The sequence below is a fragment of the Homo sapiens genome, chromosome 2 (assembly GCF_000001405.40).
Source record: "Homo sapiens chromosome 2, GRCh38.p14 Primary Assembly".
Lineage (NCBI taxonomy): Eukaryota > Metazoa > Chordata > Mammalia > Primates > Hominidae > Homo > Homo sapiens.
Genome location: NC_000002.12, coordinates 98,995,767 through 99,018,374, shown reverse-complemented (window position 1 = coordinate 99,018,374; position 22,608 = coordinate 98,995,767). Strand labels below are relative to the sequence as shown.

The 22,608-nt window shown below is 38.8% G+C and overlaps 1 protein-coding gene across 22 annotated transcripts in view; it reads left to right on the top strand.

Annotated features, from left to right (window-relative positions):
* TSGA10 (testis specific 10) overlaps positions 1–21,114 on the top strand; it is a 157,706-nt gene extending 136,592 nt beyond the window's left edge. For all 22 annotated transcript variants that reach the window (NR_146001.2, XM_047445934.1, XM_047445931.1 and 19 more), the window contains 2 exons: positions 26–175; positions 20,154–21,114. Coding sequence is in view for 21 of the 22 variants with exons in the window: in XM_047445934.1 (XP_047301890.1) it covers positions 26–175; positions 20,154–20,178 (175 nt within the window). In the remaining variant the exon portion in view is untranslated. The remainder of the gene's footprint in view (positions 1–25; positions 176–20,153) is intronic.
* The last annotated feature ends 1,494 nt before the right edge of the window (positions 21,115–22,608 follow it).

Genomic DNA, 22,608 nt, shown 5'->3' with positions numbered 1-22,608 from the left:
TTAAAGCATCACTATTTTGCTTTAGGGAGAGGGCCGTACAAGAACTTCGCCGCCAAAATTATTCAAGTAATGCTTATCATATGAGTTCTACAATGAAGCCAAATACAAAATGTCATTCACCAGAACGTGCTCACCATCGATCTCCTGACCGAGGCCTAGATCGATCATTAGAAGAGTGAGTCTATTTAAGGATCCATTCTCTTGAGATCAAATAGCAGTATCTAGTATAGTGAACATTTGGGGTAATAAGGAAACTCAATAGTCTATCTTTAATAGTGATATTTAAACATGATTACCAAGATATATTGATATAAAATACAGGATTTTGATAATTAAATTAGAATTATATATATTATACTAAAGTGAAAGGTCTAATATTTTATCTGTTTGCATAAATTATATATTTTTTTATTTCCATGGTTTTGGGGGAACAGGTGGTTTTTTGTTACACCGATAAGTTCCTTAGCAGTAATTTTTGAGATTTTGGTGCATCCAACACCCAAACAGTGTGCACTGTACCCATTGTGTACTCCTTTATTCCTCACTCTTCTCCCATCCTTCCCCCTGAATCCCCAAAGTCCAATGTATCATTCTTTTTTTTTTTTTTTTTGAGACGGAGTCTCTCTCTGTCGTCCAGGCTGGAGTGCAGTGGCGGGATCTCGGCTCACTGCAAGCTCCGCCTCCCGGGTTCACGCCATTCTCCTGCCTCAGCCTCCCAAGTAGCTGGGACTACAGGCGCCCGCCACTACGCCCGGCTAATTTTTTGTATTTTTAGTAGAGACGGGGTTTCACCGTTTTAGCCGGGATGGTCTCGATCTCCTGACCTCGTGATCCGCCTGCCTCGGCCTCCCAAAGTGCTGGGATTACAGGCGTGAGCCACCGCGCCCGGCCCAATGTATCATTCTTATAACTTTCATCCTCATAGCTTAACTCTCACTTAAAGTGAGAACATATGATATTTGGTTTTCCATTCCTGAGTTACTTCCCTTAGAATAATGGTCTCCAACTCCATCCAGGTTGCTATGAATGCCATTATTTCGTTCCTTTTTATGGCTGAGTAGTATTCCCTGGTGTATTTATACCACATTTTCTTTATCCACTTGTTGGTCAATGGGCATTTAGGCTGGTTCCATATTTTTGCAATTGCAAATTATGCTGCTACAAACATGCGTGTGCAAGTATCTTTTTCATATAATGACTTTTTTTCCTCTGAATAGATACCCAGTAGTTGGATAGATGGATCAAATGGTAGTTATACTTTTAGTTCTAAATGGAATCTCTGTACTGTTTTCCTTAGTGGTTGTACTAGTTTCCATTTCCACCAGCAGTGTAAATGAAAACATTCCCTTTTCACCACATCTATGCCAACATCTATGCTTTTTGATTTTTTAATTATGGCCATTCTTGCAGGAGTAAGGTAGGTATCTCATTGTGGTATTAATTTGCATTTCCCTGATAATTAGTGATGATGAGCATCTTTTCATATGTTTGTTGGGCATTTGTATATATTCTTTTGAGAATTGTTTATTCATGTCCTTAGCCCACTTTTTGATGGGATTATGTTTTGTTTTGTTTTTTCTTGCTGATTGTTTGACTTCCTTGTAGATTCCAGATATTAGTCCTTTGCTGGATGCACGTTTGGGAAGATTTTCTCCCACTCTGTGGGTTGTCTGTTTACTCTGCTGATTATTTCTTTTGCTGTGCAGAAGCTTTTTAGTTTAATTAAGTCCCATCTATTTATATTTGTTTTTGTTTCATTTGCTTTTGGGTTCTTGGTCATGAAATCTTTGCCTAAGCCAAAGTTCAGAAGACTTTTACCAATGTTATCTTCTAGAATTTTTATGGTTTCAGATGTTAGATTTAGGTCTTTGATCATCTTGAGTTGATTTTTTATAAGGTGAGAGATGAGGATCCAGTTTCATTCCTCTACATGTGGCTTCCCAATTATCCCAGCACCATTTGTTGAATAAGATGTCCTTTCCCCACTTTATGTTTTTGTTTGCTTTGTCAAAAATCAGTTGGCTGTAAGTATTTGGCTTCATTTCTGGGTTCTCTATTCTGTTTCATTGGTCTATGTGCCTATTTTTATATCAGTACCATGCTGTTTTGATAACTATAGTCTTGTAGTATAGTTTGAAGTCAGGTAATGTGATGCCTCCAGATTTGTTCTTTTTGCTTAGTCTTGCTATGTGGGGTCTTTTGAGGTTCCATATGAATTTTAGGATTGTTTTCCTAGTTCTGTGAAGAATGATTATGGTACTTTGATTGGAACTGCACTGAATTTGCATATTGCTTTTGGCAGTATGGTCATTTTTACAATATTGATTCTCCATGAGCATGGGATGTGTTTCCATTTGTTTGTGTCATCAGTGACTTCTTTCAGCAGTGTTTTGTAGTTTTCCTTGTAGAATTCTTTCACCACCTTGATTAGGTATATTCCTAAGTTGGTGTTTTTGTTTGTTTGTTTGTTTTTTGCTGCCATTGTAAAAGGAGTTGAGTTATTGATTTGTTTCTCAGCTTGATTGCTGTTGGTGTATAGCAGTGCTACTGATTTGTGCACATTAATTTTGTATCCTGAAACTTTACTGAATTCATTTATCAGATCTGGGAGCTTTTTGGATGAGTCTGTAGGGTTTTCTAGGTATATGATCATATCGTCAGTGAACAGTGATAGTTTGACTCTACTGATTTAGGTGCCCTTTATTTGTTTCTCTTGTGTGATCGCTCTGTCTAGGACTTCAGATACTATGTTGAATAGAAGCGATGAAAGTGGGCATCCTTGTCTTGTTCCAGTTCTCAGGGGGAATGCTTTCAACTGTCCCCATTCAGTATAATGTTGGCTGTGGGTGTGTCATAGATAGCTTTTATTACCTATCTATGTGAAGTGTGTGTCCCTCCTATACCAATTTTGCTGAGGGTTTTAACCATAAAGGGATGCTGGATTTTGTCAAATGCTTTTTCTGCATCTATTAAGATGATCACATGATTTTTGTTTTTAAGTTTGTTTATGTGATCTGTCACATTTTTTGACTTGCATATGTTAAACCATTGCTGCATACCTGGTATGCAACTCACTTGGTCATGGTGTATTATCTTTTTGATATGCTGTTGGATTCAGTTAGCAAATTTGATGTTTAGGACTTCTGCATCTATGTTCATCAGGGATATTGGTCTATAGTTTTCACTTTTTGTTATGTCCTTTCCTAGCTTTGGAATTAGGGTGATACTGGCTTCATAGGATGATTTAGGGAGGATTCCGTCTTTCTCTATCTTGTGCAGTAGTGTTCTATAGGATTGGTTCCAATTCTTCTTTGACTGTCTGATGGAATTCAGCTGTGAATCCATCTGGTCCTGGACTTTTTTTATTGGCAATTTTTTTATTACTGTTTTAATCTCTCTACTTCTTACTGGTCTGTTCAGAGTTTCTATGTCTTCCTGATTTAATCTGGGAGAGTTGTATATCTCCAGGAATTTATCCATCTCCTCTAGATTTTCTAGTTTGTATGTGTAAAGGTGTTCATAGTAGCCTCGAATGATCTTTTGTATTTCTGTGGTATTGGTTGTAATATCTCCTGTTTCATTTCTCATTGAGCTAATTTGGATCTTCTCTCTTCTTTTCTTGGTTAATCTCGCTAGTGGTCTATCAATTTTGTTTATCTTTTCAAAGAACCAGCTTTTTGTTTGATTTATCTTTTGTAATTTTTTTGTCTCATTTTCATTTAATTCTGCTCTGATCTTTGTTATTTCTTTTCTTCTGCTGGGTTTAGGTTTGGTTTGTTCTTGTTTCTCTAGTTCCTTCAGGTGTGACCTTAGAGTGTCTATTTGTGCTCTTTCAAACTTTCTGATGTAGGCACTAAATGCTATGAACTTTTCTCTTAGTACTACTTTTGGTGTATCCCAGATGTTTTGATAAGTTGTGTTTCACTATTACCTCTCAGTTCAAAGAAGTTTTTAATTTCCATCTTGATTTCATTGTTGACCCAAAGATCACTCAAGATCAGATGATGATGATGATGATGATAATTATTATTAATTTTTTTGAGATGGAATCTTGCTCTGTTGCTCAGGCTGGAGTGCAGTGGCATGATCTCGGCTCACTGCAACCTCTGCTCCTCAGGTTCAAGCAGTTCTCCTGCCTCAACCTCCCAAGTAGCTGGGAATACAGGCATGCGTCACAATGCCGGGCTTATTTTTATTTTTATTTATTTATTTATTTTTTTGAGACAGAGTCTCGCTCTGTTGCCCAGGCTGGAGTGCAATGGCACAATCTCGGTTCACTGCAACCTCCATCTCCCAGGTTCAAGCGATTCTTGTGCCTCAGACTCCCAAGTAGCTGAGATTACAGACGTCTGCTACCATGCCTGGCTAATTTTTTTGTGTTTTTAGTAGAGTCAGGGTTTCACCATGTTGTCCAGGCTGGTCTTGAACTCCTGACCTCAGGTGATCTGCCTGCCTCAGTCTCCCAAAGTGCTGGGATTACAGGCATGAGGCACTGCGCCCAGCCTTAATTTTTGTATTTTTAGTAGAGACAGGGTTTCACCATGTTGGCCAGGCTGATTTTGAACTCCTGACCTCAAGTGATCCGCCTGTCTTCGCCTCCCAAAATGCTGGGATTACAGGCATGAGCCCCCGCAGCCAGCCTCAAGAGCAGATTATTTAATGTCCATGTATTTTTATAGTTTTGAGGGTTCCTTTTGGAGGTAATTTCCAGTTGCATTCCACTGTGGTTTAAGAAGATACTTCAGGCTGGGTGCGGTGGCTCACGCCTGTAATCCCAGCACTTTGGGGGGCGGAGGCAGGCGGATCACGACATCAGGAGATTGAGACCATCCTGGCTAACATGGTAAAACCCGTCTCTACTAAAAATACAAAAAATTAGCCGGGCGTGGTGGCAGGCACCTGTAGTCCCAGCCACTCGGGAGGCTGAGGCAGGAGAATAGTGTGAACCCAGGGGGTGGAGCTTGCAGTGAGCCGAGATTGCGCCACAGCATTCCAGCCTGAGCAACAGAGAAGATTACATCTCAAAAAAATTAATAATTATTATTATTATTGTCATCATCATCATCATCATCTGATCTTAAGTGATCTTTGGGTCAACAGTGAAATCAAGATGGAAATTAAAAACTTCTTTGAACTGAGAGGTAATAGTGAAACACAACTTATCAAAACCTCTGGGATACACCAAAAGTAGTACTAAGAAAAGTTCATAGCATTTAGTGCCTACATCAGAAAGTTTGAAAGAGCACAAATAGACACTCTAAGGTCACACCTGAAGGAACTAGAGAAACAAGAACAAACCAAACCTAAACCCAGCAGAAGAAAAGAAATAACAAAGATCAGAGCAGAACTCAATGAAAATGAGACAAAAAAATTACAAAAGATAAGTTAAAAAAGAAGATACTTTATATAAATCTGATTTTCTTAAATTTATTGAGACTTGCTTTGTGTCCTATCATATGTTCAATCTTGGAGATTGTTCCATGTGCTGAAGAAAAGAATTTATATTCTGCAGTTGTTGGGTAGAATGTTCTGTAAATACCTGTTAAGTCCGTTTGTTCTAGGGTATAGTTTAAGTTCATTGTTTCTTTGACTTTCTGTATTGATGACCTGTCTAGTGCTGTCAGTGGAGTATTGAAGTCTCCCACTATTATTGTGTTGCTGTGCATCTCATTTCCTGGGTCTAATAGTCATTGTTTTCTAAATTTGAGAGCTCCAGTGTTAGGTGCATATACATTTAGAATTGCAATATTTTCCTTTTGGACTATTCCTTTTATCATTATATAATGTCCCTCTTTTTCTTTTTTTTACTGATGTTGCTTTAAAGTCTGTTTTGTCTGATATAAGAATAGCTACTCTTGCTCACTTTCCATTTGCGTGGAATATCTTTTTCCACCCTTTAACCTTAAGTTTATGTGAGTCCTTATGTGTTAGGTGAGTCTCTTGAAGATAGCAGATACTTAGTCAGTGAATTTTTATCCATTCTGCCATTCCGTATCTTTTAAGTGGACTATTTAGGCTCTTTACATTCAACATTAGTATTAAGATGTTAGGTATTGTTCTGTTCATCACATTAGTTGTTGCCTTAATACCTTGTTTTGGTGTTTTCTTCCCCCATTGTGTTATTGTTTTATGGGCCCTGTGAGATTTATGTCATAAGGAGCTTCTATTTTGATGTATTTTGAGGTTTTGTTTCAAGATTTAGAACTCCTTTAAACAGTTCTTGTAGTGCTGGTTTAGTAGTGGCAAATTCTCTCAGCATGTCTGAAAATGACTTTATCTTTCCTTCATTATGTAGCTTAGTTTTGCTGGATACAAAATTCTTGGCTGTTTCATAAGGCTAAAGATGGGACCCCAATCCCTTCTGGCTTGTAGGGTTTCTGCTGAGAAATCTGGTGTTAATGTGATAGGTTTTCCTTTATAGTTTATCTTGATGCTTTTGTCTCACAGGTCTTAAGATTCTTTCCTTTGTCTTGACTTTGGGTATCCTGATGACTTTGTGCCTAGGTGATGATCTTTTTGCAATGAATTTCCCAGGTGTTCTTTGAGCTTCTTGTGTTTGGAGGTCTAGATCTCCAAACCCTTTACCCATACTCATTATTTAAAAAATTTTACCCCATTTGTTTTCTTATATACACATGTGGTGGCTCATGTGCTCACATGCTTGCATGTTTCTTCACAGACACACACACACTTGCACACACACATACTTGCAGAGGCACATTTAAAGGTCAGGGAGGAGGTCCAGCAAGGTCAGGGAGGCTTTCCTCAATTATTCCCTCAAATAAGTTTTCTAAACTTTTAGATTTCTTTTCTTCCTCAGGAACACTAGTTATTCTTAGGTTTGGCCATTTAACATAATCCCAAATTTCTTGGAGGATTTGTTCATTTTTTAAAATTCTTTTTTGTCTTTGTCTGATTGGGCTAATTCTAAAGACCTGTCTTTGGCCGGGCATGGTGGCTAATGCCTGTAATCCCAGCACTTTGGGAGGCCGAGGTGGGCAGATCACTTGAAGTCAGGAGTTCAAGACCAGCCTGGCCAACATGGCGAAATCCCGTCTCTACTGAAAATACAAAAATTAGCCAGGTGGGTGGCACATGCCTGTAATCCCAGCTACTTGGGAGGCTGAGGCAGGAGAATCGCTTGAACCCGGGTGTCGGAGGTTGCAGTGAGCAGAGATTGCACCACCGTACTACAGCCTGGCAACAGCATGGATACCAGTACCTGCTCTAGTAGAGGTGACAGGAAAGTGATGCATCACTTTAGGTCGGGGCAGGGTTAGGTGGGTCTGGGCTCAGACTCTACTTGGGCAGGGCTTGCCACGGCCACCTTGGGGGATGGGGGTATGGTTCTCAGGCCAATGGGCTTATGTTATAGAGGGGATCTTGGCCACCTCTGCTGTATCATACAGTTTGCCAGAGAAGTGGGGAATAGCCAGTAGCAAGAGGCCTTGCCCAGCTCCCATGTAGTTGGCAAGGCCAGCCTCGCTCCTGCAGTGCCTTGCTCAGATTTTGCCCCAGGCCGTGAGCTACCCCACTGAAAAAGCAAGCACAGCATTTGAACCTGGCCCTTCCCTGTCTGGCTATTCTTGCCCTGGCTCCTATCTGCAGCAGCTTCCACTCGTCCCCTGGACTCTGCTCAAGAAAATTTGTGCCCAGTCAAAACCACTACCAATTTCAGTTGGGAGCTTCCTTCACTCTGTGACCCCTCCCCAATTCTGCTGGCTGCCTTCCCAAGGACACCTGTGAGAAGCCATTGCTGGCTTCCCTGGGCTTGAGCTGGAGACTGGGAGTGTGTGCAAGGCACTTCCTGCTGCTACTTCTACTTTTATACTTTACGTGACTCCATAAATCTCTTTCATCTCTAGATAAGGTTAAATTTTTCTCCCGTGATGTGGATTTTTAGATTCCCCAGTGGGGACGTGTTCGGAGGTAGGTTTTCTTCCCTCTCACACTTTGGGAACTCACAGTTTTTCACCTGTTTCATGGAATTGGCAGCAGCATGCCACTTCTTTCGAAGGATATGTGAATTCTTTTGGTTTTCCTGGTATATTCCTACAGTGAATCTTGGAGCAAAAGATCACAATATGAGTCTCTAACACTGTTCTGTCCTTCCATGTGGGAGCTGCACGTTAGACCTGTCTCCTATCTGCCATACTCCATCTGCCCCATAAATTGTATTTTAAGAGTTTGATTTCCTTTTTATTTCTACATTAACTTCTTTCATTTAATTACAAAACATTGGTTGTTATAGCACCACAAAATTTATATGTTCTAGGAAAGTAATCAGCTTGTTTTTTAGAGGAAAATATTTTAGATATATTTCTATGTATCACAAATTTCATAAAAACTTTTTATTTGGAAACAATTTCAACCTTTCAAAAAGTTACAAAAATAAGAATACAAAGAACATCTACATGCCCTTTACCCATACTCACTATTTAAAAAATTTTACCCCATTTGTTTTCTTATATACACATGTGGTGGCTCATGTGCTCACATGCTTGCATGTTTCTTCACAGACACACACACTTGCACACACACTCACAGAGGCTCATTTAAAAATATAAACAAAACTCCAAACCATGCCCACAGGTTTCATCCTTGCTTTCTTCCATTACTTATATATATGTTCTTTCTTCTACAGTGAGAACCTTGGCTCAACATTAACATGTTTACTCAACAATATCAATGTAGTTACTAATTTGCTCAATCCCAGAATGCATCTACAATAGTTTCAAAATTTCTTCACCGATGTCACCACAATAAACAGGCCAACTTTTTTTTTTTTTTTTTTTTTTTTTTTGAGACAGGGTCTCGCTCTGTCACCCAGGCTGGAGTGCAGTGGTGCGATCTCGGCTCACTGCAAGCTCCGCCTCCCAGGTTCACGCCATTCTCCTGCCACAGCCTCCTGAGTAGCTGGGACTACAGGCACCTGCCACAATGCCCGGCTAATTTTTTGTATTTTTAGTAGAGACGGGGTTTTCACCGTGTTAGCCAGGATGGTCTCGATCTCCTGAACAGGCCAACTTTTTAAAAGCTCAGAATCTGTTTGCAGTTCTTCCTTCTTAGGCCTGTATGCTACCTTGCCCAAGTCTTGAGAGCATTTAGTTAAATACTGAGTTTGTAACTTATTTGGATTAATTTTTTTCCATCTTTTATTTTGGTCATGGTATTCATTGTAAGTAACATTGGATTCATTTGTTTCAATTTGCTTTCATTTTTCATATTTCCACTTCCTAGTTTTTTCCTCAACTTAATTTTATTTTTGAATATGTAGATTAGCATGCTTTTGAAGGTCAACACTCTGCAAAAAATAATACTAAGAGAAGTGTCACTTTCTCTTTATGCCTTCCATCCCATCAGCCATGCCTCCACCCCCTTTCTTTGTGGTTTTGTGCTAATGATACACAGATACATATCTTTCTTTGTTTATGCAAAAAGTTGCATGCTTCTTTGCACTTTGCTTTTCTCACTTAACACTATCTCCTGGAAATCTCTCCATATTGATTCATAGAGATTCTCCTTAGTCCTTTTTTTCAGGTGCACACTACTCCAGTGTATGGATGTACCATAGTTATGCAACCCACCTCCTAAACTTGGACATTTAGGTAGTTTCCAATAATTTGCAATTACAAACAAGGCTGTAATGAATAATCTTGTACATATGTATTCTCATGTTGCAGTATCTTCAGAATAAATTCCTAGAAGTGGGATTGCTGGGTCAATGGGTAAATACACATGTAGTTTTGTTAGACAGTGCCACATTCCCCTCCATTTTGCAGTCCCTTCAGCAATGTGTGAAAGTACTGTTTCCCCACAGCGTCACTAATAGAACACACTGTCAAGCTTTTGAATTTGTGCCACTGTGGTGGATGAGAAATGGTATTTCAGTGTAGCTTTAATTTGCATTTCTCTTATTGTGAGTGAAGTTGAATATCTTTTCATAGGTTTAAGGGCTATTATTATATCTCTTTTTGGGAATTAGCTATTCATTTCTTCGTCTATTTTTCTAATGGACTTTAGATCTTTTTGTTAAAAAAATTTTTAGTACATTTCAGAAATTATCTCTTTATTGGTGATATATGCTACCAATATTTTCTCACTTTTTTGTCATTTGTCTTTTAATCTTACTGTATTGCCTTTTTCTCTATAAAGTTTTTATTTTTGTGTAGTCAGATTTTAAAGCTTTTCCTTTAATGCATCTGGATTTCTATTCACAGTTAGCAAATCTTTCTCTCTCCCCAGATAGTAGAGGAATGTTTTCTTTTAGTACTTGTATATTTTTACTTTTTGCATTTAGATATCTGATTCATTTGGAGTTTATTTTATGTATGGTTTGAGAAATGGATCTAATTTTATCTTTTTCCAACTGACTATCAAGTTGCAAGATCATTGATTTAAAAGACTCTTTGTCCCAGTCATTCAGATCTCTTTTTGGACTTTCTATTTCTATTCCATTGATCTGCCTATTCATGTGCAGTCCCACACTATTTAATTATAGAGGCTATGTGGTATTTTTAATTCTGTAGGGATAGCTCAGTGGTGTGCTGGTAAACTGGCTTTCCAAAGAGAGGAGGGGGAGGCCCTGATCTGTAGCACTTGCCAATTTCTGTGGTGTAAATACCTCCACTTTTTCATTTTTTGCAGATCTTTTATATCACTGTTTAATATTTGTTCATCTGACCTGTTTTATATCAAGAGTGGTGTTCTAAAGTCTCCTATTATTAGTATGTTTTAATTGCTTTTTCCATATCCTCTAAATTTTGCTTTATATAGGTGGTTTGCTGTTTTATTTGTTGCATTGATATTCTGAACTGTCATTCTTCATCATGGAATGTGGCTTTTATAAAGTGTCCTTTTCTGATGCATTTAGATTTTTTTCTTTTGCTGAACTCTACTTTGTCTGGTATTAGTGTTGCCACTCCTATTTTCTTGTTGTTTCTATTTACATGGTAAATATTTTTAACTTTTTTGAGTAACTGCATTTTAAATATATCTCTTATATACAGTATGGATTTGAGTTTTGCTTTATGAGTCATTGTGAATTTTTTTGAGAAATTTACACTCTTTTTTATTATTTATTCTTATACTTTAAGATCTAGGGTGCATGTGCACAATGTGCAGGTTTGTTACATATGTATACATGTGCCATGTTGCTGTGCTGCACCCATTAACTCGTCATTTACATTAGGTATTCCTCCTAATGCTATCCCTCCCCCCTCCTCCCACCCCACAACAGGCCCCAGTGTATGATGCTCCCCTTCCTGTGTCCAAATGTTCTCATTGTTCAATTCCCACCTATGAGTGAGAACATGCGGTGTTTGGTTTTCTGTCATTGTGATAGTTTGCTCAGAATGATGGTTTCCAGCTTCATCCATGTCCCTACAAAGGACATAAGCTCATTTTTTATGGCTGCATAGTATTCCATGGTGTATATATGCCACGTTTTCTTAATCCAGTCTATCATTGATGGACATTTGTGTTGGTTCCAAGTCTTTGCTATTGTGAATAGTGCCACAATAAACATACGTGTGCATGTGTCTTTGTAATAGCATGATTTATAATCCTTTGGGTATATACCCAGTAATGGGATGGCTGGGTCAAATGGTATTTCTAGTTCTAGATCCCTGAGGAATCGCCACACTGACTTCCACAATGGTTGAACTAGTTTACAGTCCCACCAACCGTGTAAAAGTGTTCCTATTTCTCCACATCCTCTCCAGCACCTGTTGTTTCCTGACTCTTTAATGATCGCCATTATAACTGGTGTGAGATGGTATCTCATTGTGGTTTTGATTTGCATTTCTCTGATGGCCAGTGATGATGAGCATTTTTTCATGTGTCTTTTGGCTGCATAAATGTCTTCTTTTGAGAAGTATCTGTTCATATCCTTCACCCACTTTTTGATGGGGTTGTTTGTTTTTTTTCTTGTAAATTCGTTTGAGTTCATTGTAGATTCTGGATATTAGCCCTTTGTCAGATGAGTAGATTGCAAAAATATTCTCCCATTCTGTTGGTTGCCTGTTCACTCTGATGGTAGTTTCTTTTGCTGTGCAGAAGCTCTTTAGTTTAATTAGATCCCATTTGTCAATTTTGGCTTTTGTTGCCATTGCTTTTGGTGTTTTAGACATGAAGTCCTTGCCCATGCCTATGTCCTGAACGGTATTGCCTAGGTTTTCTTCTAAGGTTTTTATGGTTTTAGGTCAAACATGTAAGTCTTTAATCCATCTTGAATTAATTTTTGTATAAGGTGTAAGGAAGGGATCCAGTTTCAGCTTTCTACATACAGCTAGCCAGTTTTCCCAGCATCATTTATTAAATAGGGAATCCTTTCCCCATTTCTTGTTTTTGTCAGGTTTGTCAAAGATCAGATGGTTGTAGATATGCGGCATTATTTCTGAGGGCTCTGTTCTGTTCCATTGATCTATATCTCTGTTTTGGTACCAGTACCATGCTGTTTTGGTTACTGTAGCCTTGTAGTATAGTTTGAAGTCAGGTAACGTGATGCCTCCAGCTTTGTTCTTTTGACTTAGGATTGCCTTGGCAATGCGGGCTCTTTTTTGGTTCCATATGAACTTTAAAGTAGTTTTTTCCAATTCTGTGAAGAAAGTCATTGGTAGCTTGATGGGGATGGCATTAAATCTATAAATTACCTTGGGCAGTATGGCCATTTTCACGATATTGATTCTTCCTACCCATGAGCATGGAATGTTCTTCCATTTGTTTGTATCCTCTTTTATTTCATTGAGCAGTGGTTTGTAGTTGTCCTTGAAGAGGTCCTTCATATCCCTTGTAAGTTGGATTCCTAGGTATTTTATTCTCTTTGAAGCAGTTGTGAATGGGAGTTCACTCATGATTTGGCTCTCTGTCTGTCTGTTATTGGTGTATAAGAATGCTTGTGATTTTTGCACATTGATTTTGTATCCTGAGACTTTGCTGAAGTTGCCTATCAGCTTAAGGAGATTTTGGGCTGAGACAATGGGGTTTTCTAGATATACAATCATGTCTTCTGCAAACAGGGCCAATTTGACTTCCTCTTTTCCTATTTGAATACCCTTTGTTTCTTTCTCCTGCCTAATTGCCCTGGTCAGCACTTCCAACAGAATGTTGAATAAGAGTGGTGAGAGAGGGCATCCCTGTCTTGTGCCAGTCTTCAAGGGAATGCTTCCAGTTTTTGCCCATTCAGTATGATACTGGCTGTGGGTTTGTCATAAGTAGCTCTTATTATTTTGAGATACGTCCCATCAATACCTAATTTATTGAGAGTTTTTAGCATGAAGCGTTGTTGAATTTTGTCAAAGGCCTTTTCTGCCTCTATTGAGATAATCATGTGGTTTTTGTCTTTGGTTCTGTTTATATGCTGGATTACATTTATTGATTTGCATATGTTGAACCAGCCTTGCATCCCAGGGATGAAGCCCACTTGATGATGGTGGATAAGCTTTTTGATGTGCTGCTGGATTTGGTTTGTGAGTATTTTATTGAGGAGTTTTGCATCAGTGTTCATCAAGGATATTGGTCTAAAATTCTCTTTTTTTGTTGTGTCTCTGCCAGCCTTTGGTATCAGGATGATGCTGGCCTCATAAAATGAGTTAGGGAGGATTCCCTCTTTTTCTATTGATTGGAATAGTTTCAGATGGAATGGTACCAGCTCCTTCTTGTACCTCTGGTAGAATTCGGCTGTGAATCCATCTGGTTCTGGACTTTTTTTGGTTGGTAAGCTATTTATTATTGCCACAGTTTCAGAGCCTGTTATTGGTCTATTCAGAGATTCAACTTCTTCCTGGTTTAGTCTTGAGAGCGTGTATGTGTTGAGGAATTTATCCATTTCTTCTAGATTTTCTAGTTTATTTGCGTAGAGGTGTTTGTAGTATTCTCTGATGGTAGTTTGTATTTCTGTGAGATCGGTGGTGACATCCCCTTTATCATTTTTTATTGCATCTGGATTCCCTCTTTTTCTATTGATTGGAATAGTTTCAGAAGGAATGGTACCAGCTCCTCTTTGTACCTCTGGTAGAATTCGGCTGTGAATCTGTCTAGTCCTGGACTTTTTTTGGTTGGTAAGCTATTAATTATTGCCTCAATTTCAGAGCCTGTTATTGGTCTATTCAGAGATTCAACTTCTTCCTGGTTTAGTCTTGGGAGGGTGTATGTGTCCAGGAATTTATCCATTTCTTCTAGATTTTCTAGTTTATTTGCATAGAGGTGTTTAAAGTATTCTCTGATGGTTGTTTGCATTTCCGTGGGATCAGTGGTGATATCCCCTTTATCATTTTTTATTGCATCTATTTGATTCTTCTCTCTTTTCTTCTTTATTAGTCTTGCTAGTGGTGTGTCAATTTTGTTGATCTTTTCAAAAAACCAGCTCCTGGATTCATTGATTTTTTGAAGGGTTTTTTATGTCTCTATTTCCTTCAGTTCTGCTCTGATCTTAGTTATTTGTCTTCTGCTAGCTTTTGAATGTGTTTGCTCTTGCTTCTATAGTTCTTTTAATTGTGATGTTAAAGTGTCGATTTTAGATCTTTCCTGCTTTCTCTTGTGGGCATTTAATGCTATAAATTTCCCTCTACACACTGCTTTAAATGTGTCCCAGATATTCTGGTATGTTGTGTCTTTGTTCTCATTAGTTTCAAAGAACATCTTTCTGCCTTCATCTCGTTATTTACCCAGCAGTCATTCAGGAGCAGGTTGTTCACTTTCCATGTAGTTGTGCAGTTCTGAGTCAGTTTCTTAATCCTGAGTTCTAATTTGATTGATTGCACTATGGTCAGAGAGACAGTTTGTTATAATTTATGTTCTTTCACATTTGCTAAGGAGTGCTTTACTTCCAACTATGTGGTCAATTTTGGAATAAGTGTGATGTGGTGCTGAGAAGAATGTATATTCTTTTTATTTGGGTTGGAGAGTTCTGTAGATGTCTATTAGGTCCACTTGGTGCAGAGCTGAGTTCAAGTCCTGGATATCCTTGTTAAGTTTCTTTCTCGTTGATCTGTCTAATGTTGACAGTGGGGTGTTAAAGTCCCCCATTATTATTTTGTGGGAGTCTAAGTCTCTTTGTACATCTCTAAGGACTTGCTTTATGAATCTGGGTGCTCCTGTATTGATTGGGTGCATAGATATTTAGGATAGTTAGCTCTTCTTGTTGAATTGATCCCTTTACCATTATGTAATGGCCTTCTTTGTCTCTTTTGATCTTTGTTGGTTTAAAGTCTGTTTTAGGCCAGGCACGGTAGCTTACGCCTATAATCCCAGCACTTTGGGAGGCCGAGGCAGGTGGATCACGAGGTCAGGAGTTCAAGACCAGCCTGGCCAAGATGGTGAAACCCTGTCTCTACTAAAAATACAAAAATTAGCCGGGCATGGTGGCACTTGCCTATAATCTCAGCTACTCAGAAGGCTGAGGCAGAGAATTGCTTGAACCTGGGAGGTGGAGGTTGCAGTGAGCCAAGATCGCACCACTGCACTCCAGCCTGGGCGACAGAGTGAGACTCTTTCTCAAAAAAAAAAAAAAAGTTTGTTTTATCAGAGACTAGGATTGTAACCCCTGCTTTTTGTTGTTGTTGTTTTCCATTTGCTTGTTAGACCTTCCTCCATCCCTTTATTTTGAGCCTATGTGTGTCTCTGCATGTGAGGTGGGTCTCCTGAATACAGCACACTGATGGGTCTTGACTCTTTATCCAATTTGCCAGTCTGTGTCTTTTAATTGGAGTATTTAGCCCATTTACGTTTAAGGTTAATATTGTTATGTGTGAATTTGATCCTGTCATTATGTTGTTAGCTGGTTATTTTGCTCGTTAGTTGATGTAGTTTCTTCTTAGCCTCGATGGTCTTTACAATTTGGCATGTTTTTGCAGTGGCTGGTACCAGTTGTTCCTTTCCATGTTTAGTGCTTCCTTCAGGAGCTCTTTTAGGGCAGGCCTGGTGGTGACAACATCTCTCAGCATCTGTTTGTCTGTAAAGTATTTTATTTCTCCTTCACTTACGAAGCTTAGTTTGGCTGGATATGAAATTCTGGGTTGAAAATTCTTTTCTTTAAGAATGTTGAATATTGGCCCCCACTGTCTTCTGGCTTGTGGAGTTTCTGCCAAGAGATCTGCTGTTAGTCTGATGGGCTTCCCCTTGTGGGTAACCGGACCTTTCTTTCTGGCTGCCCTTAATATTTTCCCTTCATTTCAACTTCGGTGAATCTGACAATTATGTGTCTTGGAGTTGCTCTTCTCGAGGAGTATCTTTGTAGCGTTCTCTGTATTTCCTGAATTTGAATGTCGGCCTGCCTTGCTAGATTGGGGAAGTTCTCCTGGATAATATCCCGCAGAGTGTTTTCCAACTTGGTTCCATTCTCCCCGTCACTTTCAGGTACACCAATCAGATGTAGATATGGTCTTTTCACATAGTCCCATATTTCTTGGAGGCTTTGTTCGTTTCTTTTTATTCTTTTTTCTCTAAACTTCTCTTCTTGCTTCATTTCATTCATTTGATCTTCAATCACTGATACCTTTTCTTCCACTTGATTGAATTGGCTACTGAAGCTTGTGCATGCGTCATGTAGTTTTCGCGCCATGGTTTTTAGCTCCGTCAGGTCATTTAAGGTCTTCTCTATGCTGTTTATTCTAGTTAGCCATTCGTCTAATCTTTTTCCAAGGTTTTTAGCTTCTTTGCGATGGGTTCAAACGTCCTCCTTTAGCTTGGAGAAGTTTGTTATTACTGATCCTCTGAAGTCTACTTCTGTCAACTCGTTAAAGTCATTCTCTGTCCAGTTTTGTTCTGTTGCTGGTGGGGAGCTGTGTTCCTTTGGAGGAGAAGAGACACTCTGATTTTTGGAATTTTCAGCTTTTCTGCTCTGGTTTCTCCCCATCTTTGTGGTTTTAATCTACCTTCGGTCTTTGATGTTGGTGACCTACAGATGGGGTTTTGGTGTGGGTGTCCTTTTTGTTGATGTTGATGCTATTCCTTTCTGTTTGTTAGTTTTCCTTCTAACAGTCAGGACCCTCAGCTGCAGGTCTGTTGGAGTTTGCTGGAGGTCCACTCCAGATCCTGTTTGCCTCGGTATCACCAGCGGAGGCTGCAGAACAGCAAATATTGCTGCCTGATCCTTCCTCTGGAAGCTTCATCTCAGAGGGGCACCTGGCTGTATGAGGTGTCAGTTTGCCCCTACTGGGAGGTGTCCCTGAGTTAGGCTACTAGGGGGTCAGGGACTCACTTGAGGAGGCAGTCTGTCCGTTCTCAGATCTCAAACTCCATGCTGGGAGAACCACTGCTCTCTTCAAAGCTGTCAGACAGGGACGTTTAAGTCTGCAGAAGTTTCTGCTGCCTTTTGTTCAGCTATGCCCTGTCCCCAGAGGTGAAGTCTACAGAGATAGGCAGACCTCATTGAGCTGTGGTGGGCTCCACCCGGTTCGAGCTTCCAGGCTGCCTTGTTTACCAAATCAAGCCTCAGCAATGGTGGATGCCCCTCTCCCAGCCTTGCTGCCACCTCGCAGTTCGATCTCGGACTGCTGTGCTAGCAGTAAGCAGGGTCCATGGGTGTGGGACCCACCGAGCCATGCATGGGATATAATCTCCTGGTGTGCTGTTTGCAAAGACCACTGGAAAAGCACAGTAGTAGAGTGGGAGTGTCCCGAGCACTAGGAAAGGGAATTCCCCGACCCCTTGCGCTTCCCAGGTGAGGCGATGCCCTGCCCTGCTTTGGCTCACACTCTGTGGGCTGCACCCACTGTCCAACAAGTCCCAGTGAGATGAACCTGGTACCTCACTTGGAAATGCAGAAATCACCCATCTTCTGTGTCGCTTACGCTGGGAGCTGTGGACTGCAGCTCTTCCTATTCGACCATCTTGGAACGATCCCCTTTTTTTTTTTTTTTTTTAAGTCAGAGTTTCACTCTTGTCCCCCAGACTGGAGTGCAATGGCAGGATCTCAGCTCCCTGCAACCTCCACCTCCCAGGTTCAAGTGATTCTCCTGCCTCAGCCTCCCTGAGTAGGTGAGATTACAGGTGTCCATCACTACATCCAGCTCATTTTTTTTTTTTTTCAGTAGAGACGGGGTTTGCCATGTTGGGCAGGGTGGTCTCGAACTCCTGACCTCAGGTGATCCACCTGCCTTGGCCTCCCAAGGTGCTGGGATTACAGGCATGAGCCACCACACCTGGCCTAGTTTTTGTATTTTTAGTAGAGACAGGGTTTCACCATGTTGACCAGGCTGGTCTCAAACTCCTGACCTCAGGTAATCCACTCGCCTCAGCCTCCCAAAGTGCTAGGATTACAGGCATGAGCCACCACACCCTGCCATTTTGAAAATCTTTTTAAAAAATAGGTGAATTACACTGGGCGTGGTTGCTCACACGTGTAATCCTAGCACTTTGGGAGACTGAGGCAGACAGATCGCTTGAGCCTAGGAGTTACAGACCAGCCTGGGCAATGGTGAAACCCCATCTCTACAAAAAATACACACACAAAAAAAATTAGCCAGATATGGTGGCACGTGCCTGTATTTCTAGCTACTTGGTAGGCTGAGGTGAGAGGATCAACTGAGCCTGGAAGGTCATGGCTTCAGTAAGCCATAATCATGCCACTGCATTCTAGCCTGGGCAACAGAATGAGACCCTGTCTCAAAAATAGAATAGAACAGTATAAATAAAATAGATGAGTTAAAATCTTTTACATTATTGATATGACTGTTATGTCACATCAATAGTTATAATTACTTTCTGTACTATGTGATATTTGTTGTATTTCTTCATTTGATCAGTCTTCTTTGCTTTTTAACAAATTTCTTTTGGCTTTTATGAAAGTTTATTTTATTTTAGTTGTTACCTTTCTATTAATATGATTAACAATGCCCTTAATCACCTTTTTTCTCACTTAATCTTTTACTCTCAGTTTCAAATGGTGTCCTTTGACTGACACCTATTATCTAGACAACAGACATCACATTGAATTTACTTTCCTCTAACCACTGCTCTGTTTCCTGCCTCTCTAGTTTTGCCTTTCCCAGGTTGTCATGTAAATGGAATCATACAGTATGCAGCCTCTAGTGGTTGACTTTCACCCAGCATAATATATTTCAGATTTATCCAGGTTGTTGCATGTATTAGTAGTTGTCACATATTCCTTTTAACTGCTGAGTAGTATTCCATAGTATAGATGTACCACAGGTACTTTTTTTTAATGATTATAGTCTTGGCCATACACAGTGGCTCCTGACTATAATCCCAGAACTTTAGGAGGCTGAGGTGGGAGGATCATTTGAGGCCAGGAGTTTGAGACCAGCCTGGCCAACGTGGCAAAACCCCATCTCTACTAAAAATACAAACATTAGCTGGGCGTGGTGGCGCATGTCTGTAATCCCAGCTACTCAGGCGGCTGAGGCATGAGATTTGCTTGAACCTGGGGGCAGAGGTTGCAGTAAGCTGAGATCATGTCACTGCACTTCAGCCTGGGTGACAGAGTGAGACTCTGTCTCCAAAAAATAGTAATTAAAAAATAAAAATAGAATGATTATAGTCTCACAAGTAGTTGCAAAAATACCACAGACAGTCCCACATATCCTTACCCCAGCTTCTATAATGGAGTATCTTACAAACTGGGATATTGACATTAGCACAGTGTGATTAACTAGTCTAAAGGCCTTATTCAGATTTCACTAGTTTTTAGATGCACTCATTTGTTTGTATGTGTATATATATATTTTTTACAATCCACACACAGCACAACTATGATCAAGATGTGAAGTTGTTCCATCAGCACCAAAGAATTCACTCCCTCATTATGCCTATTTATAGTTGTAGCCCTGACCTTCTTCATCTCCCTGTCTCCTGGGAAACACTACTTTCTTCGCCATCTCTATAATTCTGTCGTTTTGAGATAACCTTTTCAGATTAACTTTTCTCATTCAGCATAATGCCCGTGAGATCCATCCAAGCTGCTGTAAGTATCAATAGTTCATTCCTATTTATTGTTGAATAGTATTCCATGGTATGAATGTACCAGTTTGTGAAAACTGAGTGAAAAAATATATTGTTTTTTGTTTTCCTTCATAGAAATGAAGAAAAATCTTACGTTTTGCTGAAGTGATACACTTACTAGAATAAATTTGTTACACATGTTGAAAAAGTTGAATTAAAAATATTAATCAGCATGATTTTTTCTCTTATAGGAATCTTTGCTACAGAGATTTCTGACACCTGAAATGATTCTTCACATCCCTGAGAAAGGTCAAAGTTACAAACTGATTTTTTTTTTTTTGCTACATGAGTGCATTTATCTTTTAAATGCTTGGCAATGTTAAATGTATTTATTAACTTTGTGTCTCTGAATCTCTGTTCTAATGTGCCATGTTGCAGTGATCTGAGATGACTTATAAAAACAAAAATGTATATGGCTCTTTCTATCCATGCAGTGATAGTGAGTGTAAAATCTGCTTACTTCACTATTGAACACTATTCTGTTCACTATCTGGAGTAAATAAAGAAGCTTATTAAAACAGGGAAAAGTGTTTTTACAAAACTGCTTTCCTTTCCTTTCTTGGTATCTCAAATAATTGGTTGGTTAATTTTTTTTCTTTGTGATTTGTGTTTTCATGGCTGGAAAATCTGTGCCAAAATGGGTACAACTTACTGATACTGGTCTGGGATCTGATATTCCATTTTGGAACCAACCTTACATGAATTCCATGCCATAATCTGATATTGAAGCAGCAGAAAGTAGGAGTGTTGTCAGGGTTTTAAAACCTATAGTATTGTACCACTCAAAGACTAAGTAACATACATATTCTACAATTGTGTTTACTACTACTGCTTTTAGAAAGGTAGGTGATGGTATATCTGTCAAGAATGTAAGATTTTATTAAAAATCTTTATTTTTAATAAGTTTTCTTTCAAGTACTGCAATCAACTTAATTGCGATTTTATTTTATTGTCTGTGGCAGCTGTCTGTAATCTGGAGTAATAAGATAAGTGATGTTTCCTTCCTCCCCCAATTTCCTAAATCTCTTACCTTATCTATCCATAGGCTTTGATGTAATGTTCATATTAGAGCCTGAATGCTACTGTATTTTACTGATATAAACTATTTGTATTCTTGCCATTTTAATAAAAAAAGGCTTGTCATTAATAGTATTCATATGATGTAGACAATTTCTCATTTTATATAGTTACTATTCAATATGACTATAGTGATGTAGGAAAGTGCTCTGATTTAGGTTTCGTTTAATCACTAGCATGCTGATATTTTACTATAATTTCATGCTACATATTCACTGTGGTTTGCTTTTTTAAAACCTTTGGGTTCAGTCATCTGGTTTAAGACATTAATTACAGATTGGTTAAAGAATTAATAATTTAAAGTAAAATGCCCTCTTATAAGCATTTTTAAAAATAATATGCAAAAAGTTGTCCTTGCTATTATTAAATAATATGTTGATAAACATGAAAAATTCACCTTTATTGGGTGACTCAATGACCTTAGCACTAGATCATCACATTAACTTTAATCTATCCACCTAGAAGAGCTGATAAAGAGCTGAATGTTACTGTCATATGCACTTAATACATGTTATGTATGGAGGGCAGTATGTGAGAAGGGAGCATGAGGGAAGCAGGAATGAAGTATGTAAGAAAATATTTCCATGTTTGAAAGTATGCTTTACTTGCCTTGTGCCATTAATTACAGAACATTTATATGGGACAATTATATAGTAAGTATAAAGGGACCATCATTATCTAAAGGAAGGAGAAAATTCATCTGCATTGTATGTTAAAATTTCAAAGAAAAGATTTTTGTTTTGGTAATATTCAAGAACATTTGTTATTTTAAATGAGATTCTAATTGCTTGATATAAATATTTAATAGCCTGTTGCTATGATAGAAACTGCCTAATGTAAATACAATATATGAAACTATACCAAACATATTCTTCCTTGGATGACAAGGAAGTCTCCTGAAAAAGAGTTCTCAGCTTTCAAATATCATGTTCAATATGAAACACCTACTCCTGCTAAAGTAAGGGTGTTTGTGAAAAAAGAATTGTTAACCCTCTGAGTAATTTAAATCTAAAATTTGTTGTATATAAACCCTATTTTGAAATTCCAGGCACCACCGGAACTCTGTCTTTTCTTTGGTTTATCTGAGACATCATGCAACTTTCTGTTGGAAGTAGGAGCAAGGCATTCACACGAGGCTCCATTCTGAAGTTCATAAGCTATAGTTTCAAAAGGAGCAGGTGTTATCTTTTTGATCTTTAGTATATTATTACTATTAGAGTTCATCTCCCTTATTACAGTTTAGCAACCAGTGGGCATAATGAATTAATTAAACATGTTCTGATAATGATATCAGCTACTAAAAGCTTAGATTTGAATCAACTAAAAGTGTAAATGATGTAAAGAAAATTTCTAGCTGACACTCTGTACAAATATTGGCCACAATGATTATAAGTCATTCACCCTGGAGCAATAAAAGAAGAAAAAAAGACTATGAGTGGAAGCCACTGGATTTGAAGTCAATTATGATTCCTAAATAGTTATTGCTTCAAAAATTATTTAAAATTATGAATTCAGATACTTGAAATATATTAATATTTTAAAATAACACTATCATAAGAATCTGCTACT